We start from the raw sequence: 21,762 nt of genomic DNA on the forward strand, positions 1-21,762 counted from the left end.
CCTGTTAGGAACTAATGCACCTGGTGACTTTAGGTTAAAGCCAATGCTCATTGGCCAGACTGAAAATCCTAGGGCACTTAAGAGTTATGCTAAATCTATTCTGCCTGTGCTCTATAAATGGAACAACAAGGCCTGGATGACAGCACATCTGTTTACAGAATGGTTAACTGAATAATTTAAGCCCACTGCAGACTTACTACTCAGGAAAAACAAAATTCGTTGCAAAATATTACTGCTCCTTGACAATGCACCTAGTCATCCAAGAGCTCTGACGGAGATGCACAAGGAGATTAATGTTTTCATGCCTGCTAACACAACATACATTCTGTAGCTCATGGATCAAGGAGTAATTTTGACTTTTTTTTTTTTTTTTTGAGACAAAGTCTCACTCTGTTGCTCAGGCTCAAGTGCAGTGGCGCCATTTTGGCTCACTGAGACCTTGGCCTCCCAGGTTCAAGCAATTCTCCCCACCTCAGCCTCCCCAGTAGCTAGGATTACAGGCACCTGCCACCACGCCCAGCTAATTTTTGTATTTTTACTAGAGACAGGGTTTTGCCATGTTGGCCAGGCTGGTCTTGAACTCCTGACCTTAGGTGATCCACCTGCCTTCACCTCCCAAAGTGCTGGAATTACAGGTGTGGGCCACCATGCCCGGGGAATTTTGACTTTCAAGTATTATTATTTAAGAAATACATTTCATAAGGCAATAGCTGCCACAGATAGAGGCTCCTCTGATGGACCTGGGCAAAGTAAATTTAAAACCTTCTGGAAAGGACTCACCATCTTAGATATTGCTAAGACCATTCATGCTTTTCTGGAGCATGGCAGGAGCTGAGCCACCAAACCTCAGGCAGTGGGCCTCTGTGACTAGCAGTTCCCTGCTCAGGTGAGTGCTGGAGAAGGAGCCTGGTGGAGCTGTGGGCGATGCAGAAGAATGCTGGGGTATGTGGTGGTGAGCCCAGGCTGAAGCTGCATGTTGGCCACCTTGCCTTGTCCCAGGGTGCACTCTCTGCCTTCTAACGCCCCCAGGAGTGGCTGGGGGTTTTTGCCATGGTGGTGGGGGAGTAGAAGGCGAGGGTGTTACCAGTGCCTGTGTTTAGGAGGTGGCTGTTTTGTTGGGAAAAGCTACTACGAAGGGAAGTATTACCAAATTGGGTCTTTTTTTTTTTCTGTGTTCATAGTGTTCACAGCAAATCTGAGTGTTTTACTTAAAGCATGGAACACACAAAACAACAAAAAATTTTAGCTAGTGCTTTAATCTCATCTGAAATTCTACAGGTGTGTGTTTTATAAGGCATTTATGGCAGAATTTCAAGCCAATCTGAGATTCTCTTTTTTTTTGGTGGCATTATTTTTGAAAACTACATACAGCTAAATGTTCAACTGGTGAAACTGAAAGTATTTCATTGACAAGAAATTAATCAAGAGGAAGAACCTGCAGCTCGCATGCTTCTGAGCTGCTACGGATGGCTCCGGCTCTCTGGACAGCCCCAGCTCCCTGGACAGCCCTTCCAAGTAGGATGTCACTAGGATCCCTCACATGGGGTCTCCTGTTGCTATCGCTCCTGAGTTTCCTCGTGATGTGTTACCTCAGCCTTCCCCACTACAATGTGACAGAACATGTAAACTGGATGTGCTTCTGGAGTATGAGACAATTTACAGACAATACCTTCACTTTGCATTTTGAGAGCATTCAAACTGCTCTCATCAAAACCCATTTCTGGACCCAGTGCAATGGCTCATGCCTGTAATCCCAACACTTTGGGAAGCTAAGGCAGGAGGATCACTTGAGCTCAGGAGTTCGAGACCAGTCTGGGCAACAGAGGGAGACTCCATCTCTACCAAAAAAAAAAAAATTTTTTTTTTAAACAGCCAGGCATGGTGGCATGCACCACTAGTCCCAGCTACTAGCTGGGAGGATCGCTTGAGCCCAGAAGGTCAAGGCTGCAGTGAGCCATGATCATGCCACACTGTACTCCAGCCTGGAGACAGAGTAAGATCGGGTCTCAAAATCAACCAACTAACCAACCATTTCTCATCATCCCAGTAACTTCCCATCCCTCAAATATGAAAGCCAGACAGGCCATTGGAGTTACTTGAGATGAAAAAAAAGTGTTGGTGGAGATAAGAGATTCTTACGTTATGTCTGAAAGGGAAGACAAAATGTTAGCACTGTGCTTAGAGGGTGAACACCTTCTTTATGGTGACATAATGCAACCACATGTTTTGGATACATATAATAACATGACCTTGAAAACCATTATGGCATTCAGGTGGGTAACTGAGTTTTGCCCCAATGCCAAGTACATCATGAATACAGACACTGATGTTTCCATCGATATTTGAAATTTAGTAAAGTATCTTTTAAACTGAAACCAGAGAAGTTTTTCACAGGTTATCCTCTGAGTAACAATTATTCCTACAGAGGATTTCACCAAAAACCCCATATTTTATACCAGAAGTATCCTTTCATGGTGTTCCCTCCATACTGCAGTGTGTTGGGTTATAAAATGTCCAGAGGTTGGTGCCAAGGATCTATAAATGATGAGTCATGTAAAACCCATTAAGTTTGAAGACGTTTATGTTGGGATCTGTTTGAATTTCTTAAAAGTGGATATTTATACTCCAGAAGACACAAACGTTTTCTTTTTCTTTTTTTTTTTCTTTTTTTTGAAGACAGGTTCTCACTCTAGTGCCCAGGCTGGAGTGCAGTGGTGTGATTTCAGCTCACTGCAATGTTTGCCTCCTGGGTTCAAGTGATCCTCCCACCTCAGCCTCCTGAGCAGCTGGGACTACAGGTGCACAACACCACACCCAGATAATTTTTTTATTTTTTGTAAAGACCAGGGTCCTGCTATGTTGCCCAGGCTGGTCTCAAACTCCTGAGCTCAAGCGATCCACTTGCCTCAGCCTCCCAAAGTGCTGGGATTATAGGTATGAGCCGCTAATGTCCCACCCCTTTTCTTTTTATGAAGAGTTGATGTGGATGTCTGTCAACTCAGATGTGTGATTGCAGCCCATGGCTTTTTTTACAAGGAGATCATTACTTTTTGATAGATTATGCTAAGGAACATCACATGCCATTATTAACTTCACATTCTACCAAAAGCCTAGAGAAGGACATGACACTTTGTGGAAAGTGTTAAAGTTGTAGAAAATTCATGGGGAGGTCCGTGTGCTAGCTTACACTGAACTGAAGCTCATGAAGAACACACAGACTAGAGACTGGAGGGTTAAGGTGTGATTTATTTTGACAAAATTCAAGTCAGGCTCTTTAAAGATGATATTCAAAAGAATTAAATATAAAAGAAGTGGTGGTTTTTGCTACTGAAACTAATAAGACCAAACAATTCGAACATGTCTATAGACTAGAATTTCTTAAAAGTGACAGTGAATTATAAGCTCATTAGTCCATAATAAGAAAGCAATGTAGAGTTTTACTGAACAATCTAGTCACTTAATTTTGTGTATAACTTATGTGGATTACTAATTTAAAAATATATATAGTTCTGTGTAAAAAAAAAAAAAAAAAAACTTCACTGAAATTATACCAAACAAAATTTCAACTGTTTTTGGTCATTTAGAAGATCCTTCACGATGTTGCAGTATTTCAGTTATCAAGTATTATTCGATATTACCTCAGACTTTCTGGGTCTGTAAATGTTATGACAGTTTCAATACTATATAAATAGAATAGCAAATCACTCTTTACATTTGATGCTTTTCTAGTTATTTCACTGATTAGGTTATTATTGATAGCTCCATTAATGTAAAGTCTTAGGTTGTTATTGTGTATCAGTAATCTCTTGGACTTTGTTAAACATTTTACTGTGATAATATAGAGAGAATTAAAGCAAGAAAAGCCTGAATTATTGCCTTGTTTTTAAAAATACAGTCTGCAATGTGTGTGTGTGTTTGTTGTTGTTGTTTTGAAACGGGGTCTCACTCTGTCACTGAGGCTGGAGTGCAGTGGTATGATCACGGCTCACTGCAGCCTTGACCTCCCGGGTGCAATCAGTCCTCTCACCTCAGCCTCCTGAATAGTTGGAACTACAAGTGTATGCCACCATATCCAGCTAATTTTTTTTTTTTTTTTTTGTAGAGACAGAGTCTCACTATGTTGTCCAGGCTGGTCTTGAACTCCTGGGCTCAAGGGATCCTCCTTCCTTGGCCTCCCAAAGTGCTAGAATTACAGGCATGAGCCACTGTGTCCAGCCTCTCCAATGTTTTTAGATGTCACTGTCTCATTTTTCCACCTGGAAATTAGGAATAATATAGAATGCCAAGCAGTATGTTTCCTTTTGGAAAGGACTTTGAAGACAAAAAAGAAAGGAGAGAACCCGATGGCTAGAATATTATGAATATTCCAGGATTGAGTTGAAAAGAGAAGACTGAAGATCCAAGTTGCATTCTTAATCTGTCTCAGTTTTTTTTTTTTTTTTGCACTAACAATCAGTTTGTGAATAAAGAGGAAAAAAGGAAAAAGGAAAAAAAAATCGTGATTCATGAGAAGAAGTCAAAATACCAACATTAATAGGAGTTTGGAAGAAGCTGATTCCAACTCTCATGGATGACTTTGGGGATTCAAGCCTTCAGCAGAGAAAGTAACAACAACTACAGATGTGGTGAAAATAGCAAGACAACTAGAATTAGAAGTGGAGCCTGAAGATGTGACTGAATTGTCGCAATCTCATGATCAAACTTGAACGGATGGAAGTGGCTTCTTACGGATGGGCAAAAAAAGTGGTTTCTTGAGATGAATCTCCTCCCGGTGAAGATGCTGTGAACATTGTTGAAATGACAACAAAGGATTTAGAATTACATCAACTTAGCTGATAAAGCAGCAGCAGAGTTTGGGAGGGATGACTCCAATTTTAAAGAAGCTACTGTGGGTAAAATGCTATCAAACAGGATCAAATACTCCAGACAACTCTTCCTCTTCTTCATGAAAGGAAGAGTTAATGGATGTGGAAAACTTCATTGTTGTCTTATTTTAAGAAACTGTCACAGTCACCCCAACTTTCAGCAACCACCCCCCTGGTCAGTCAGCAGTTATCAACATCAAGGCAAGACCCTCCACCAGCAAAAAGATTATGACTCACTGAAGGCTCAGATGATTGTTAGCCTATTTAGCAATAAAATATGTTTAAATTCAGGTATGTACATTTTTTAGACTTAACACTTAGTAGGCTTAAAACACTTAGTAGACTATAGTATAGTGTAAACATAACTTTTATATGCACTGGGAAACCAAAAAAGTTGTGTGACTCCCTTTACTGTGATATTTGCTTTATTGCAGTGGTCTGGAACAGAACCTGCAATAGCTAAAGTGTGCCCAAGTATACCACTGGGTGTTTTTAATATTTCTTCATATGACACACAGTTCTGGACTCTCTGACATACTAAAAACTACTTGTGTGACTCATACAACTGCAGCCTTAGCATAGATAGCATAGGCTGTGTAACTGGGCTCAGTAGAGAGTTGTCTGATAAGATAAGTCTGTAGCCAGAAGCGATGCTTGTTTATAGGTGATTCAGCACAGAGGCAGTTTATTGGGACTCCAATTGACAGCATCTTAGAGGCAAAGACAAAGGATCAAAGAGCCAAAGATAGAACAGAGCCATCGGCCAAAGCCCCAAGGGGCACTTATGACCAGAATAAACTGGGTGGACCCATCTTGAGCCCTGGGTGACCAAAATAGGAACCCAAAGGTTACAAGCTACAGCCAATCACTATTCTCAAGAGTATGACTAGATTTCAATTAACCTTTGCAAAGACAAAACCCAAAGACCATAGGTAGTGAGTTAAAAAAAAAAAAAATTGGCTTATCTGCCTAAACGGACTGAATGGTTCACTTTCTCTTGGCTTCATTTTAGCTCCAAGGGGTAGAGTCTATTCACTTTGCATGTCTCACTTTGTTGCTTCAGAAGGATGGACACTAGCATTAGTAAATGAAAGTTTGATAAGGAAGAGGATTTATATACAAAGTATCACCCTACAAAATACTTACTAATTACAAAGTGAAAAATAGTAACTTAACAGTGGAGAAGCCTGGCAGATACCAGTTAACTAGATGATTTAGGTTGGTTATCAGTGATGGGACAAGTAGGCATCAGGACCTCTTGTTATGATGCACCTAGAAAGACACACCATTGCAGTATCCCAGTCAAAAACACATACCTTAAATCTAAGCACAGGGAACATCAAAATCACTCAAATTAAGGAACATCCTATAAAGTAGAACTGGCCTGTAAACTAAAAATGTCAAGGTCATGAAAGACAATGTAAGATTAAGGAGCTGTTCCAGATTAAAAGAGATTTAAAAGACATGACAACTAAACACAATGTTTGATCCCAGATTAAATCCTGAACCGAAGGAAAATGTTTTTCTTTTGCTACAACGGGCACGACTGGGACAATTAGTAAAATCTGAATAAACAGATTAGATAACAGTTTATATCAAAGTTAATATCCTGATTGTGACATCTATACTTTGTTTTTTATTAGTTTAGTTTGTTTTTTTAAGGAAATATACACTAAAATGTTTATATTATATACTGTATATAATTATAAAGGGATATTATATATTATGTGGCTGACTTTCAAATAACTCAGAAAAATATGATAAAACAAATGTAGCAAAATATTAACCATCGGTGAATCTGGGTGAAGAGTATATGTGAATCTTGTGTATCATTTTTCTACTGTTTATGTAACTGAAATTATTTCAAAATGAAATTTTTAATTAAGAAAAGAAAAGGACAAGATGAGTGAAAAGTCCAGCCCCCTGAGGCGCTCCTGACCACAGAGACTCAGGGTTCCAAGGCTGGCCTTCCTCCTTTGATACTGCAGTGACAAACAGGATGAGCAAAGACTTCAGAGCTGTGCAGATCTGGGTTCCAATCATTGTGCCTCACATAAACTAAGCTCACTAAAAAAAGATGGTATTTATTATTTCAAATTTTTAAAAAGCAACAGAAAAATATGAAACGCTTCCTCATTTATTTTATGGAGCAAGTTAAGTACAGCCCTAATACCAAAACTCTGGCATTCAGTACAGGTGAAAAGAAAACTATGTATTATCCCATTTACAAATTACTAGTAAATTGAATCAGGCAGTACATTAAAAGAATAAGACACCATGGCAAAATCAAGTTGGTTCAAAAAAGTAAGGATGAATGGATGGAGGGATGGACAAATATCAAGAAATTCATTAAAATAATTTATCAGTTATGGAAGTCAAAAAAGATAAAGACTTAGAAATTCAATAAAGAGGCATTTTCAACATTTGAACATCTTTTCCTGATTTTTAAATGTTTATTTTTCCAGTGGGACTGTTTATAACTTTTCTGATTATAAAAGTAATCATGATTATTGTAAAAATTTCCAAGTAAGGCAAAAGTGGGTAGAATAGAGTTTCCTCACAGTCCATGACACTGTGGAGTCTTTCAAGCTTGTGAAAGCATCTTTACAAGTAGGTAGATCACGAGCCAGCACGCAAGAAACAGAGGAGAGAGAGAGAGAGAACCCTATTCTGAGAATAAAAGGCAATTCCTCTGTTAGCTTGTGGGCTCTCACAAAGCATACCACTGATAAAATGGAGTCACACTATCGCCTCCCTTTCCATGATCTTCCCCCTCCTGCCTAACCAGCCATCACTGCAGAAGGTCGCAAATCCACATGTGAGTCACTTCAGAGCAGCTCTCCTCACATGTAGGTTCTCACCACTCAGATACTATCCATCCTCAGCTATGAAGGGCTCTGTGTAGAAAGATAAGAGGGTAAAAAATAAAAAATTTTAAGAGAGAACATTTAGGTATACAATTTAAAAGATGGGGAAATTAGAGAATTAAGGAGATACTGTGCAGAATTAAAATCATCATCATCATCATCATCATCATCTGCTTTGCAGGCTACACAGCGTAAGGAGCATATTATTTAGAGAACATTTGTGTTTAAATTCTCTGGTGTTTCAGGAGTTGGCAGCAGGTTTTCAGAACTCAGACATCATTTGAGTCATGGACAGAATTGGAAACCTGATGCACTGATGCTGTTTTCTATCTGTGGCTGAAAAATGAGGTATTTTCCGATAATAAGAGATATAGAATCCAAGAGGAAGCATACCCACTTCCAGTTCCAAATAACTTTCCTTGCAAAAGGCAAAGATCCTTCTGAAACTCGGTTAGTTAGAGAGTCTGATCTCATCCCTTCAGAACAACCAGAGCTCAAGGCTGCAGTAACCTGACTCTCCAGTGTTATTTTGACCAACTTCATAGAAACAAAAGCTGCCTTTGATGCACCTCAATGCCTAGCCACCTCACCAGAGAATCAAATATTAAAAATTAATCAGGCTGGCCAGACACCATTCAATGTCAGGCAGCTTTACACAGGAGGTGGAGCTCTGGGGTGACGTAGAGTGAATGCTTATCTTTCGTGTTGTCATGAACTTCTGTGATTTAGCTCACTGCCTATTTCTTCTCCTGGTCATGTCTAATTCTGGGTGGGCAGCTCTGCAGAGGCTGAGCAGCCAAGCTTCCATGTGGCCTCATTGCTTTCATGCTTCTTCTCCTCTCCAACTGTTTCTCTCCTCCTCTAGGGCACGACACCTCCAAATGCTCATTGCTAACTCACCCTCTTACCTTCTTGCCCCACCATAGTATCAGTGGACAAAATCCACAAGCTCGCAAGGTTTAAAGTCATCACCTCTATTCTGAAGCAGACACTGAAGGAACATACGAGCTGACACAGGGGTGGGATTTCACAGGATGGAGAAGGAACAGAGGGACACTCCAGGCTGAGGCAGAGACTTTAAAAACATGCTGAGGATGACTGGGGAAGTGGCAAGCGGTCCAGTGGGGCTGCACCTTAGGGTCCAATACGTCTCTAGCTCTGGCACTGCTTCTCCCGGGTGCCACACCCCAACTGCACCCCAGCCTCTCTGCATGGAGTCCCTCAGATACCTCACACTAAACATACCCTAGCCAAAACCTTTCTCCTTCTAGACTCTAAATTTTGGCTAATGGAGCCACCATGCTTTCAGTCAAGCTGAAAACTTAAGTCACCTCAGACTCTTCCCTCTCTGTCTCAACACACAGTACTTCAACAATTTGCATCAATGCTTCTCCAAAATGCTCTTGAATCCATTCCCTACTCTCAATTCCTCCTAGCACTAATTTCAGCCTTATGTCTCACCCGGGCTTTTACAGAGCCCCAGCATGTGCCACACAAACTCCCACTCTTCCCTGGAGTCAGCCCAGTCCTTGTGTCACTATGAAGCCCTCCCTACCCCAGCAGTTTGTCCCCTTTTTCCTTGCTCTCACCTTGCTGTGTACCTACCTTTACTACTAAAAGCCAGCACACAGAATGATCACTACTTAAAACTTGTTTCCTCCATTCAACAACAAATTTCTCAAGGGTAGACACTGTGTTTTGTAACTTCTGAAAAAGATGCTTCCCAAGCATCTTACATGGTATCCGAACATAGCATTTCACAATGAAATCATGGTAAACTAGTGGAAACCCTAACCATTCTCCTTGCTCTGCCTTTTCCTTCTTATGCATTTTTTCTAACTTTTTATTTTGAATTAAGTATAGATTCACAGGAAGTTGCGAAAATAGTGCAGAGGAGATCCACGTACCCTTCATCCAGTTTCCCCCAATGGTGACATCTGACATAACTATGGTACAACGTCAAAACCAGGAAACTGACATTGGCACAATCCACAGACCTTATTCACTCCAGGCTGAGGCAGAGACTTAAAAAACATGCTGAGGATGTTTTACACCAGTTTTACATGCACTCATATGTATGTGTAGTTGTATGTAAATTTATAATGTGTAGATGTGTGTAACCACAACCACAGTCAGGATACAGAACTGTTCCATCACCAAAAAGATCCCTTATGCTGCCTCTTTATAGTCATCCTCCGCTCCTACCTTCCCCCTGCCCCCACACTGCCCCTAATTCCTGGTAACCACTAATGTGTTTTCCATCTCTTCTATGGACACTTTTAACAGTGTCCCACTGCCTACAGAAGGTTCACAGACCTCATCTGTGGCATTCAAGGCCTTCAGGATGTGATCCAGAGCTACTGTTCAGCCCATTCCTCCCCTCCACCCCCATGAACTCACTATTCCAGCTACACAGGACAATTCACTGTCCTAGGAACATGCTTTGCACTTTCCTGCCTTTGTATCTTTGCTCATGTTGTTCCTATGTCTAACCTTCTCTCCCTGCTTGTTCACTCAGAAGAACCATCTTTAAGGTTCAGCATAAATATCATATTTACAAAAAGCTGCTTCCTGATTTCTACCATCCCCAAGCAACTGTTTTTTCTCATCTCTGTAATCCCTCTCTTATAGCACTCAAGTCACAGGATTATTGGGTGTCCATGTCTTCCCCACTTGACCACGATCCAATTGAACACAAGGATGTGTATTATTCACTTTTGTCTTCACAAGACCTCAGCAGTTTGATCCCACAGACTTTCACAAATCCTTCTCTTGTACTACCTGGCACTTGCTGCACTTAGTGCTGGAGATACAAAGATAAATATCCCCTGATGAGACTTCCAGGCTAGTACCTCAATGTCTGATTCACTGAGGATACACACAGCAACTTCTTGAATGAATGAATGAATGAATGATAAAAATCTGTAGGTCACTTGAAAACATTTTAAGACTCAGTGATCTAGAACAGACATACATCGTCCTGCTGCCGCTGAATGACACTAGAAGCCACCAATCATTGATCACTCAATAAATGCTTACAAAGTGACTACTGCATGACAAGCACCTCTCTAGGTATTGGAGATACAGCAGTAAACAAAACTGACACAAATATCTGCCCTCATGGAGCTTGCACTCAACCAGGGAGACAGGCCATAAAATAAATACATACATTAAAAAGTAGGTTAGAGGCTAGGTGTGGTAGCCCACGCCTATAATCCCAACACTTTGGGAGACCTAAGCGGGAGGACTGCTTGAGCTCACAAGTTCAAGACCAGCCTGGGCAACCAGGTAAAACCCCATCTCTACAAAAAATACAGAAATTAGCCGGGCGTGGTGGTGCATGCCTGTAGTCCCAGCTACTTGGCAGGCTGAGGTGGGAGGATGGCTTGAGCCCAAGAGGCAGAGGTTGCAGTGAGCCGAGATCACACAATTGCACTCCAGTCTTGCCTCAAAAAAAAAAAAAAAAAAAAAAAGTGCGTTAGATTGTGATAAACGCTGTGGAGAAAAATAAAGCAAGAAGGTTTGACAGAGAGTGTTATGTGGGGGAAGAGGGTGAAGAATTTCAAATTAAGGGTCAGAGAAGGGTTCCCCAAGAAGGTGACATATGAACAAAACTGTGAAGGAGGTGAGTGGGCAGAGCATGGGGCTATTTGGAGGAAGAGAACCCCAGGGAGAGGGAAGGACGGGCAGGAGCACACCTGGCATACTCAAGGACTAAAAAGAAGAGTGGAGCAGGTGAATATCAGAAAATGGGCTCAGTAAGGCAGAGGTAAGAGGAGGGGTCATCGTATGGCCTTGTAAGAAACAGGAAAGACTTTGCCTTGATTTCTGATGATGCGTTAACACTTTATCTCTTCTACTTTTCTTTCCCATGAGTATTTGGTTACTCTCTCTGACTCCCACAAGCCCCCAAAATGGTACTCAGGAATAAAATAATTTATCAAACACGGGTAACGACTACTGCTAGCTACCAGGATACAAAATCTATTAAACATGGCCATCGAGAGGTGGGACAGTATCATGAAAACCTTCTAGATTATACTTATAATAAGCCAACCTATTTCTAACTCAGTAATTTTTTAAATTGATTTTTCCCTGAATCATAAGAGTAATGATACAAGAGAAACTCTCTCTTCTCCAACCCAATCAATCAGGCCAGTGGTTGGATCATCCAGGGTGTGGGCAGACTAGAGATTAGCCATGACCACTCAGCTTGCTGTGAACAGACATATGTGCTACAGCAGGGAAGGGGAAGAGCCTGATAATCTCATCAGGTGGAGTTGGTCAAAAGAATTGTCTTATAGGACATCTGAGTACAATGGCAACAGGGGAACACATGTCTCCTGCCCCCAGGTCCTTTTAAAATAAACTAAAGGCACACAAAAATAGACAAAAACATGCATTTGAGTTGGAAACCAGGAAGGATGCCATCCAACCTGCCTAGAACTTTGAGGAATATCTGCTAGATTTAGTCAAGATGGAGCAGGACCAAAGAAGGCCCAGCTAGCTTTCTAAGAAGCAATGTGTCCTGGCAATAAATGCAGGCAGCAATAAATGCAGGCAGCACCTGCAGGACACAAAAGAAGGCTAGGGCAGCAGGCACAGAACTCCTACAACACAAGCCAAGGCGCAACCAACAGCTTTCCTCAGAGCCTTGAGCAGACATTCACCCACCCAGCTCCCTGCCCAGGCCAACAGCTTGGCAGAGGGAGTGGCACTGAAGGGCTGGGTCTGGCACGGGCAGCCAGTGTAAATTCAGTCAACCTAAAATTTCCCCTTGCTCCTTCATTTGAATATGAAGAAGACAGAGACTCACAATTATCTCTCTAAGAATTCATCTCCCATGAGATTATGGTGATGGCTGTAAAACTATGTTCAGAATAAGATTTAAGGAGTCAGTGTAACTATGATACTTAAGTAAGTGGTTTTTAAAAAGGGATTTCTGAAATAGGAAAGACTGAATGGAAATTAAAACTTTGAATACTGGTTTAAATAGTAACGGAGGAAAGGAACAGCAAATTGAAGACTATACAATCAAATTGGAAAAGCGAAACAAATTCCCCAAGAACTCAGAAATGTCAGAAGACAAAAATGAGGTAGAGATTAATTTTAACACAGGACAGAGAAAGAACATGGCATATTAAAAGCTTAAGCTTAACAAAAAAACTTCTTAGAAATAATAAATTCAGCAAAGTTGAAGGATACAAAATCAGTTACATTTCTATACACTAACAGCGAATAATATGAAAGGGAAATAAATCCATTTCATTTACAATGCATCAAAAACAATAAAATAATCAAGAATAAACTCAACTAAGGAGATGAAAGACTTGTACACCGAAAATGATAAAACAATGCTGAAAGAAATTGGAGAAGACACACATAAAAGGAGACATCTTGTGTATGTGGATTGGAAGACTTGTTGTTAGGATGTCAATACTATCCAAAGCAATCTACAGGTTCAATGCCATCCCAATAAAATAGGCTGGGCACAGTGGCTCATACCTGTAATCCCAGCACTTTGGGAGGCCAAGGCAGGCGGATCACTTGAGGTCAGGAGTTCAAGGCCAGCCTGGCCAACATAGTGGAACCCCATCTCTACCAAAACACACAAAAATTAGCCGGGCTTGGTGGCGGGTGCCTGTAGTCCCAGCTATTCGGGAGGCTGAGGTGGGAGAATCACCTAAACCCAGGAGGGGGAGGTTGCAGTGAGCCAAGATTGTGCCACTACACTCCATCCTGGGTGACAGAGTGAGACCCTATCTCAAAACAAAAAGAGAATACCAATAAAATTAAAAATCCAGGCCAGGCACGGTGGCTCAGGCCTGTAATCCCAGCATTTTGGAAGGCAGAGGCAGGCGGATCACCTGAGGTCAGGAGTTTGAGACCAGCCTGGCCAACATGGCAAAACTCCGTTTCTACTAAAAATACAAAAATTAGTCAGGCACGGTGGTGGGTGCCTGAGGCTGAGGCAGGAGAATCATTTGAACCCAGAAGGCAGAGGTTGCAGTGAGCCGAGATTGTGCCATTGCACCCCAGCCTGGGTGACACAGTGAGACTCCATCTAAAAAATAATAATAAAAATAAAAAATAAGAAAATCCAACCTAAACCCACACGAAATCTCAAGGGACTCTGAATAACCAAAACAAATTAGAAAAATAACAAAATTGGGCCAGGTGCGGTGGCTCACGCCTGTAATCCCAGCACTTTAGGAGGCCGAGGTGGGTGGATCACGAGGTCAGGAGATCGAGACCATCCTGACTAACATGGTGAAACCCCATCTCTACTAAAAAATACAAAAAATTAGCCGAGCATGGTGGCGGGCACCTGTAGTCCCAGCTACTCGGGAGGCTGAGGCAAGAGAATGGCGTGAACCCGGGAGGCGGAGCTTTGCAGTGAGCCGAGATCACACCACTGCACTCCAGCCTGGGCGACAGAGTGAGACTCTGTCTCAAAAAAAAAAAAAAAAAAAAAAATTGGAGGTCACATACCTTCTGATTTAAAAACTTACTACAAAACTACAGTCATCAAAACAGTGTGGTACTGGCATAAAGACAGATATAGAGACTAATAGAATAAAATAGAGATCCCAGAAATAAACCCTCACATATATGGTCAAATGATTTTTCAGCAAGCGTGCCAAGACCATTCAAGGGGGAAAGGATAACCTCTTCAACAAATGGAACTGGGAAAACTGGATACCCACATGCAAAAAAAGGAGGACCCCTTCTTACCTCATGACTACACAAAAATTAACTCAAATTGGATCAAACATCTAAAAAGCTAAAACTACAAATTCCTCAGAAGAAAACATATGGGAAAATCTTCATGACATTGAATTTAGCGATGACTTCTTGGATATGATACCAAAGGCACAGGCAACAAATGCAAAAATATGCAAATGGAACCATAGCAAAAATTAAACACTTTTGAGTATCAAAGGACAACTAGCAAAAGAGTAGAAAGGCAATCCATGGAATGGAAGGAAATACTGTATTTATAAATCATACATCTGATAAGAAGTTAACATCCAGAAAATATTAAAAATTCCTAAAATTCAATAACAGCCCTATTAGAAAAATGAACAATGGACTATTAATAGACATTTCTCCAAAGAAGATATACAAATGAGATATACAAACAGCTAATAATAAGCACAGGAGAAGATGCTCAACATTATTAGTCATTAGGGAAATGTAAATCAAACAACAACGTGATTATCATTTCACACCCACTAGGATAGCTATTACTAAGAAAAAACAGCAGAAAATAACAAGTTTTGGTGAGGATGTGGAATAATTGGAACTCTTATGGATTGCTGATGGGAATGTAATATGGTGCAGCTGCTGTGGAAAATGGTATGCCAATTCCTAAAAAAGCTGAGCACTGAACTACCTTATGATCCAGCAATTCCATTTCTGGGTATATACCTGTTATGGCTAATATTAGGTGTCAATTTGACTGGATTGAGGGATGCCTAGATGGCTGGTGAGGCAGTTTCTGGGTGTGTCTATGAGGGTGTTGCCAGAGGAGACTGACATTTGAGTTGGTGGACTACGAGGGGGAGACCCACCCTCAATGTGGGTGGGCACCATCCAACTGGCTGCCAACGCGGCTAGAACAAAGTAGGCAGAAGGGGGATAAATAGCCTGCAGAGTCTTCTCGCTCTCTCTCTCTTCACATGCAGGACTCTTTGCTTCCTCTCCTCCTGCCCTTGGGCATCAGACTTCCAGATTCTTCTGCTTTTGGACTTTGGGACTCGGACCAGTGGCTTCCTGGGGGCTTTTGGGCCTTCGGCCTCAGACTGGGGGCTGCACTGTCAGACAACATTGAGACTTCCTTGGTAAAACTTATACAGCACATGGTTTAGAGTTGGTTTTGAGGCTTTCGGGCTTGGACTGAGCCACTAATGGCTTCTCTCTCCCCGAGCTTGCAGATGGCCTATCATGGGACTTTGCCTTGTAATTTTATGAGCCAATTCTCCCTAATAAACTCCCTTTATATATACATATACCTTATTGGTTCTGTCCCTCTGGAGAACCCAAATACAACACCCAAAAGAACAGAATGCAGGGTCTTGAAGAGAGATACGTATACCCATGTTCACAGCAACATTTCTCACAACAGCCAGAAGGTAGAAGCAATCCAGCCATCCATCAACAGATGAATGGATAAGGAAACTGTGGTATAGACATGCAATGGAATATTATTTAGCCTTAAAAGGGAAGAACATTTTGACATATACTATAACATGGATGAACTCTGAAGACATTATACTAAGTGAAATAAGCCACTCACAAAAAGCAAAACACTCTATGATTCCATTTTAGATGAGGTATCTAGAGTAGGCAAATTCATAGGGACAGAAAGTAGAATGGTGGCTGCCAGGGGCTTGGGGGAGAAAGGGAATAGGGAGTTAGTGTTTAATGGGCATAGACTTTCAGTTGGGACGATGAAAAAGTTCTGGAGATGGATGGTGGTCATGAGTACACAATAATGTGAATGTACTGCACGTTGTGCACATGTACCCTAGAACTTAAAGTATAATAAAAAAAGTTATCCAACTGGGGATTTATTAATATATGGATTAAAGTATTTCATCTGTTAGAGAGAAAAAAAATAATGTGAATGTACTTAATGCCATAGAACTGTATACTAAAAAAGGATTAAAATGGTAAATGTTATATTATGTATGTAACCACAACTTTTAAAAAAGGGCTTGGGTTTAGAGTCAGCAGTCCTTCTACCTATTAGCAGACAACTTTGTGGCAAGTTGCTTAAACTTTCTCGGAAGTAAAATGAGGTAACAGTAGGGCTGTGGAGATAAATAAGATAATTCCAACAGGCACTTGCTACATAAGCACTAAAAGTCAGCTCTTATTATTATGAAGATGCTATGAGAATGGCACAGCTGGCTCTAGACGTTTCACCAGAAAACGACAACAGTTGTATTTTGGAGTCATTATCTAGGGAAGAATGTTTTCACATTGTTTGATATTTTATGATAAAGGTTCTTTCTAGCATCTTCTCTATGGTCCTTGCCTCCTTCACCATTCAACTCTAAACCATGTGCTGTATAAGTTTTACCAAGGAAGTCTCAGTGTTGTCTAAGGAGGCAAGCCAATCCTTGGAAAATGAAAAACTGGTACATTCATACCAAGATGGAAGACATGAGCCAGTTTACAGAAAGCAAGTCAATGACAATCTCCCAGTTAGTCAAAGCCTTCAAAGGCTCTGTGTCTTCCACTCTACTATGATGTCAACTTTATGTTTTGGTCAAAGTTAAAGTATTACCTGGAGAAGTGCTGACTAGGCTTCTGGACCTTTAGACATATCAGTGTCCTTAGGGGAAAGCAGCATTTTAACAAAGCAGTTTAGCCATGTGAAATGGCCTAAGCTCTAGATCTGGAGACCAGGAAAATTCAGTGTAAGTGGGTAATTTGAGGTCTCATGAGGCCCATCACCTCCCTCAGTCCAATGGCCCACTTTAAGACAGGCATCTTGTCAAGGAAGATGAGATGCAAGCATCTGAAGGCACAGGCTTTGTGCAATCCCAACAGCTCCTAGAATCACACCCCAAATCATGGGGCCAATGATCAAGACCCCAGGAAGAGGGGAAATCACTTCCAAGCTACAGCACCATGATGCAATAAGAAATATATATTTGGTCGTTGCCCCTGATTCCTGACACAGAGCACCTAAAACCCTTGTAGTAATTTCCTGAGTGGTAGGGGTGATAGGAGCATCTTTTGTTAATATTTGGTCTTAGCCCCTGTTTCCTAACACAAAAGCGTCTAAAACCCTTGAAATCTCCAGAATGCAGAGTGTCTTTTTGTAAGTGAATGAAATGGCTAGTGGCTGGGCTTCCTAGGTAGCTTCCGGATGGGGGCTGGTTGGCAGGGAACTCAACCATGTGATTAGAAGGTTAGAACCTTAAGTCTTACCCCTAGCCTCTGAGGAGGGCAAGAGCTAGAGATAGAGCTAATCAACAAGGGCCAGTGATTTAATCAATCATACCTATGTAATAAAGCCTCCATAAAAACCCTAAATAAAGGGGTTTAAAGAGCTTCTAGATAGCTCCGTATGTGGAGGTACCTGGAGGGTGGCATGCCCAGAGAGGGCATGCAAGCTCCATGCCCCTTCCCCATCCCTTGTCCTAGGTAGCTCTTACCTGGTTGTTCATTTGTATCCTTTACAATAAACTGATAAACATAAAGTATTTCCCTGAGTGGTGTGAGCCACTGTTGCAAATGATCAAACAGGAGGAAGGGGTAATGAGAACCCCTAATTTGTAGCTAACCTGGTACCAGAAGCTTGCAACTGGCATCTGAAATGGGGGCAGTCTTGAGCCCTTAATCTGTAAAATCTGAAGCTAACTCCAAATAGATAGTGTCAGAATTAATTTGAATAGTAGGACACCCAAACGGTGTCTAGGAAGTCAAATAACTGATTGTTAGTGTGGAAAAAACTTAGATTTGGTGTCAGAAATGTGAGTAGAGGAAATGGTTTTCCTTTTGAGCACCACTATCAGGTGAGTCAGCTCAGAAGACAAGCAACAAAGAATTCATTAATAAAGGTTAAAATTAGTAAAATGCCTACTTCTGTTTCATTTACTGTCCATGACTAGAGAGAAATACCAAAGAAACACAAAATACTGGTGAGAAAACAGGCTGAAAACAAAGGCAAGGAAGGAGAAAGGGAAGAGGAAAGGCTCATTGAAGGAAGGCAGACATGGAGTCACACAGGGACAGGTGTAACAGCTGGAAGGAGGAGTCTAGTAAACTCTCTCTCATGAAGCCAGACCTGGTCAGGCCATTCCAGTCCTGCCCCGTGGAGCTGGCATTTCAAGCTGAAAGTTTCCCGAGAGTGGCAGCAACAGTGCAGGGTCCCAGGTGAGGGATTTAGTCATGGCACTCTCCACGGCATTTTGCTTCCTTCTCTCCCAACCAGGAAAACAAAAACAAAAACAAAAACCTTTGCTCCCAACACCCTGTCTCCTTCACCACTCTGGTAGGTTGAATAATGGTTCCCCCAAAAGAAAGGTCCATGTCCTAAGCCCAGAAACCTGTAAATGTGACCTTATATAGAAAAAGAGTCTTTGTAGGTGTAATTAATTGAAAGATCTCAAGATGGGGGTCATCCTGGATTATGCTGGCAGACCCTAAATCTAATGATAAGTGTCCTTAGAAGAGACACTCAGAGGAGAGACACACAGAAGAGGAGAAGGTCATGCAAAAACTGAGACAGGGACTGGAGTGATGGAGCCACAAACCAAGGAATGCCTGGAGCCACGAGAAGCCAGAATAGGCAAGAAATGATTCTCCCCTGGAGCTTTTGAGGGAGCACGGCCCTGTCAACACATTGATTTCTCACTTCTGGCCTCCAGAACTGTGAGAAGGTTAATTAATCTCTACTGGTGTAAGCCACCCAGTTTGTGGTCATTTGTTACTGTGGCCCTAAGAAATTAATATGACCCCAACCACGAGGAAAAAAACAAAACATGTTGCTGTCCTCTTTCCTCATGGGCACCATCAAAAACCTTCCTTCTAGGGTTTTCACTTACATAGTCTACCAAGGAAACTGCATGCCCATTGGTGCTGTCCTTTCCATGTGGACTTCGACCTCAGCTTAGCCACTTCTCGGGACTTCGCAGAGAAGCCCCGCAGGCCAGAATAGTTCAGTCCTGCTGGGCACTCAGCTGACCTCATGTCACTTGGGCTCTGATCCTTATGAGAGACACAGAGGATGGGAGGCAGGGTATGTTATTTTGCTTTTTAACCCAGTACCATTTAACCAAATGGAAATACCATTCCCATCTATATGACTCAAAAGATAAAGACAGACCACAGTGGAAGATGTTTTAAGAACTGGCCTGAGGAGTTTCTAGAAGAACCTGAAACACGGGATTTCCTGGGAGGACCTCCCCAATCCTCCCTCCTCCTCGCTCCTGGGTCTTGCTTTCTCTCATTTATTTTCTTCATTTCTTCCTTCCCTGTTTCTTTTTGGCTATGAATTTGCTCTTATATGAAAGAAACTGTACTCACACAGAAAGAAAGTGGAAAGCAAGAAACTGTGACAGTCAATCCTACTGCACTGGCTTCAACTCCTATACTTTTACAGCTAAATTCACTTCCCGGACTTGAAAACTTACTGGTGGGAGTTCAATGTCTGCCTTCCCCACTAGACTGTAAGCTCTAGGAGAAAAACACCTATAACTGTTTTGTTCATCATAATTTATGCAGTGCTTTCAACAGTGCCCTCATGACATGGGGCTTAAAATGTGTTTGTGGAATGACAAGTCTATATCAAAGGTTAAATACTAAAATGGTAAATTTTATGTTAAAGCTAAACATAGTGACTGGGCATGGTGGCTCATGCCTGTAATCACAGCACTTTGGGAGGTCAAGGCAGACAAATCATGTGAGCTCAGGAGTTCAAGACCAGCCTGGGCAACACGGCAAAACCCTGTCTGTACTAAAAACTGATTAGTGGGTACCACTTTCCTTTTCGGGCGATGAAAATGTTTTGGAACTAGATAGAGGTAGTGGTTGCACAACATTATGTTTAGTTTTGGTTTCTGGTTTTCTTTTAGAGATGAAGTTTGCTGTTGTCCAGGCTGAGCTTCTGGGCTCAAGTGATCCTCTCACCTCAGCCGCTTGAGTAGCAGGAATCACAGCCACCAGCCACCATGCCCAGCTGCACAACATTGTTAATGTACTAAATGCCACTGAACTGTTCACTTTAAAATGGTTAATTATGTTATGTGAATTTTGCCTCCATTTTAAAAAAAGAACGAAAAGAAAAAGGTGAAATAAACCTGATTTTGCCATTTAACAATAGAGTTCAAAGTAAAGTATATATAAAAAACTATTTTTTTTATGACTTAAGTAACCACCAGAGTACTGATGTTGGGGCCCAGGGTGTAAATCAGGGATTCTCAACCTGGACGCTCATGACTTTGGACTGTATAATTCCCTGTTATGGGGGCCATCCCCATCCCATGCACTACAGGATATTCACCAGCATCCCTGACCTCCATTCGTTTGATGCCTGTAATAGCCCTTTCCTAGGTGTGACAATCAAAAATGTCTCTAGATATTGCCAAGTGTCTCCTGGGGGGCAAAACAGCCACAATTGAGACCTACTGGTCTAAATGGAAAAAGGGCTCTCTAGCAATTATCAAAAATTTCTTCTTTTTCTATCCCTTGTATACCTACCAGTGTGACTCATTGTTTCCTGCCAATCCTACCAGCCACAAATGACCTATCTGTGAACTTCTAGCACCTGGTTATAATGCCCTTTTTCTAACCCCAAGTTCCCCCAAGCCACCCACGAGGGACCTGGACATGCTGCTTTCTGCCTGTGTCACTTGCCAGGCCACAGATTATCCAGGGGCCCTCATCCTATCCCCAGTGTATGGTAACATAGCTCCACTAGCACCTACAAGATAGAAGGATGTCCTTAAGGTATAGGTCAAGGAAAAAGCAAACCTACTGGTTTGACAAGCAGAACAGAGCCTCCCTGTGCCTAGGCCCTCATTCTCTAATCTCAGTCAAGAACAACAAAATTCCAAACCATCACACCACCCCCAAACAGGGTAACAGGTGAAATGAAAGGTTGAAAGCCCCTATCCCTAGAAGATATAAGTGAATTTTCAAGGAATTCAATTATCTCTAACTTTAAGGAACACAATCAATTCACATCGAGTTGCTTTGACATTAATCTTTCAGAAGACCCCACAAGCTTGAGAGGAGAAATGGATTCTAATCCCAATTGAACCTAGCTGTGTAGTTTCGGACAGGCCATTTAATCCTCTGGGCATAGTTTCTCCTTTGCAAGATCTGTGAGTTAGGCTGTTTGAATTCTAAGTTTAATGCATTAATTTAATACCTACTTCCTAAATACCTACTTATTAAAAGCATACAAAAAGATGAGTGAGAACCTAACCATACCCTCAAGGAGTCCAAGTTGGGTCAGGGATGAAGGGAGAACAGCTTAGAAGACTGATAAATAAATCGTTATTGTAAGA

At 41.6% G+C, this 21,762-nt stretch overlaps 1 protein-coding gene and 1 pseudogene across 5 annotated transcripts in view; one reads left to right on the top strand and one right to left on the bottom strand.

Moving 5' to 3' along the window:
* Positions 1 to 21,762, bottom strand: part of AAK1 (AP2 associated kinase 1) — a 185,743-nt gene that overhangs the window by 137,868 nt on the left and 26,113 nt on the right. The window lies entirely within an intron of this gene.
* On the top strand, positions 2,021 to 3,287 carry B3GALNT1P1 (beta-1,3-N-acetylgalactosaminyltransferase 1 pseudogene 1; annotated as a pseudogene).

This window comes from Homo sapiens, chromosome 2, assembly GCF_000001405.40.
Source record: "Homo sapiens chromosome 2, GRCh38.p14 Primary Assembly".
NCBI classification, from domain to species: domain Eukaryota; kingdom Metazoa; phylum Chordata; class Mammalia; order Primates; family Hominidae; genus Homo; species Homo sapiens.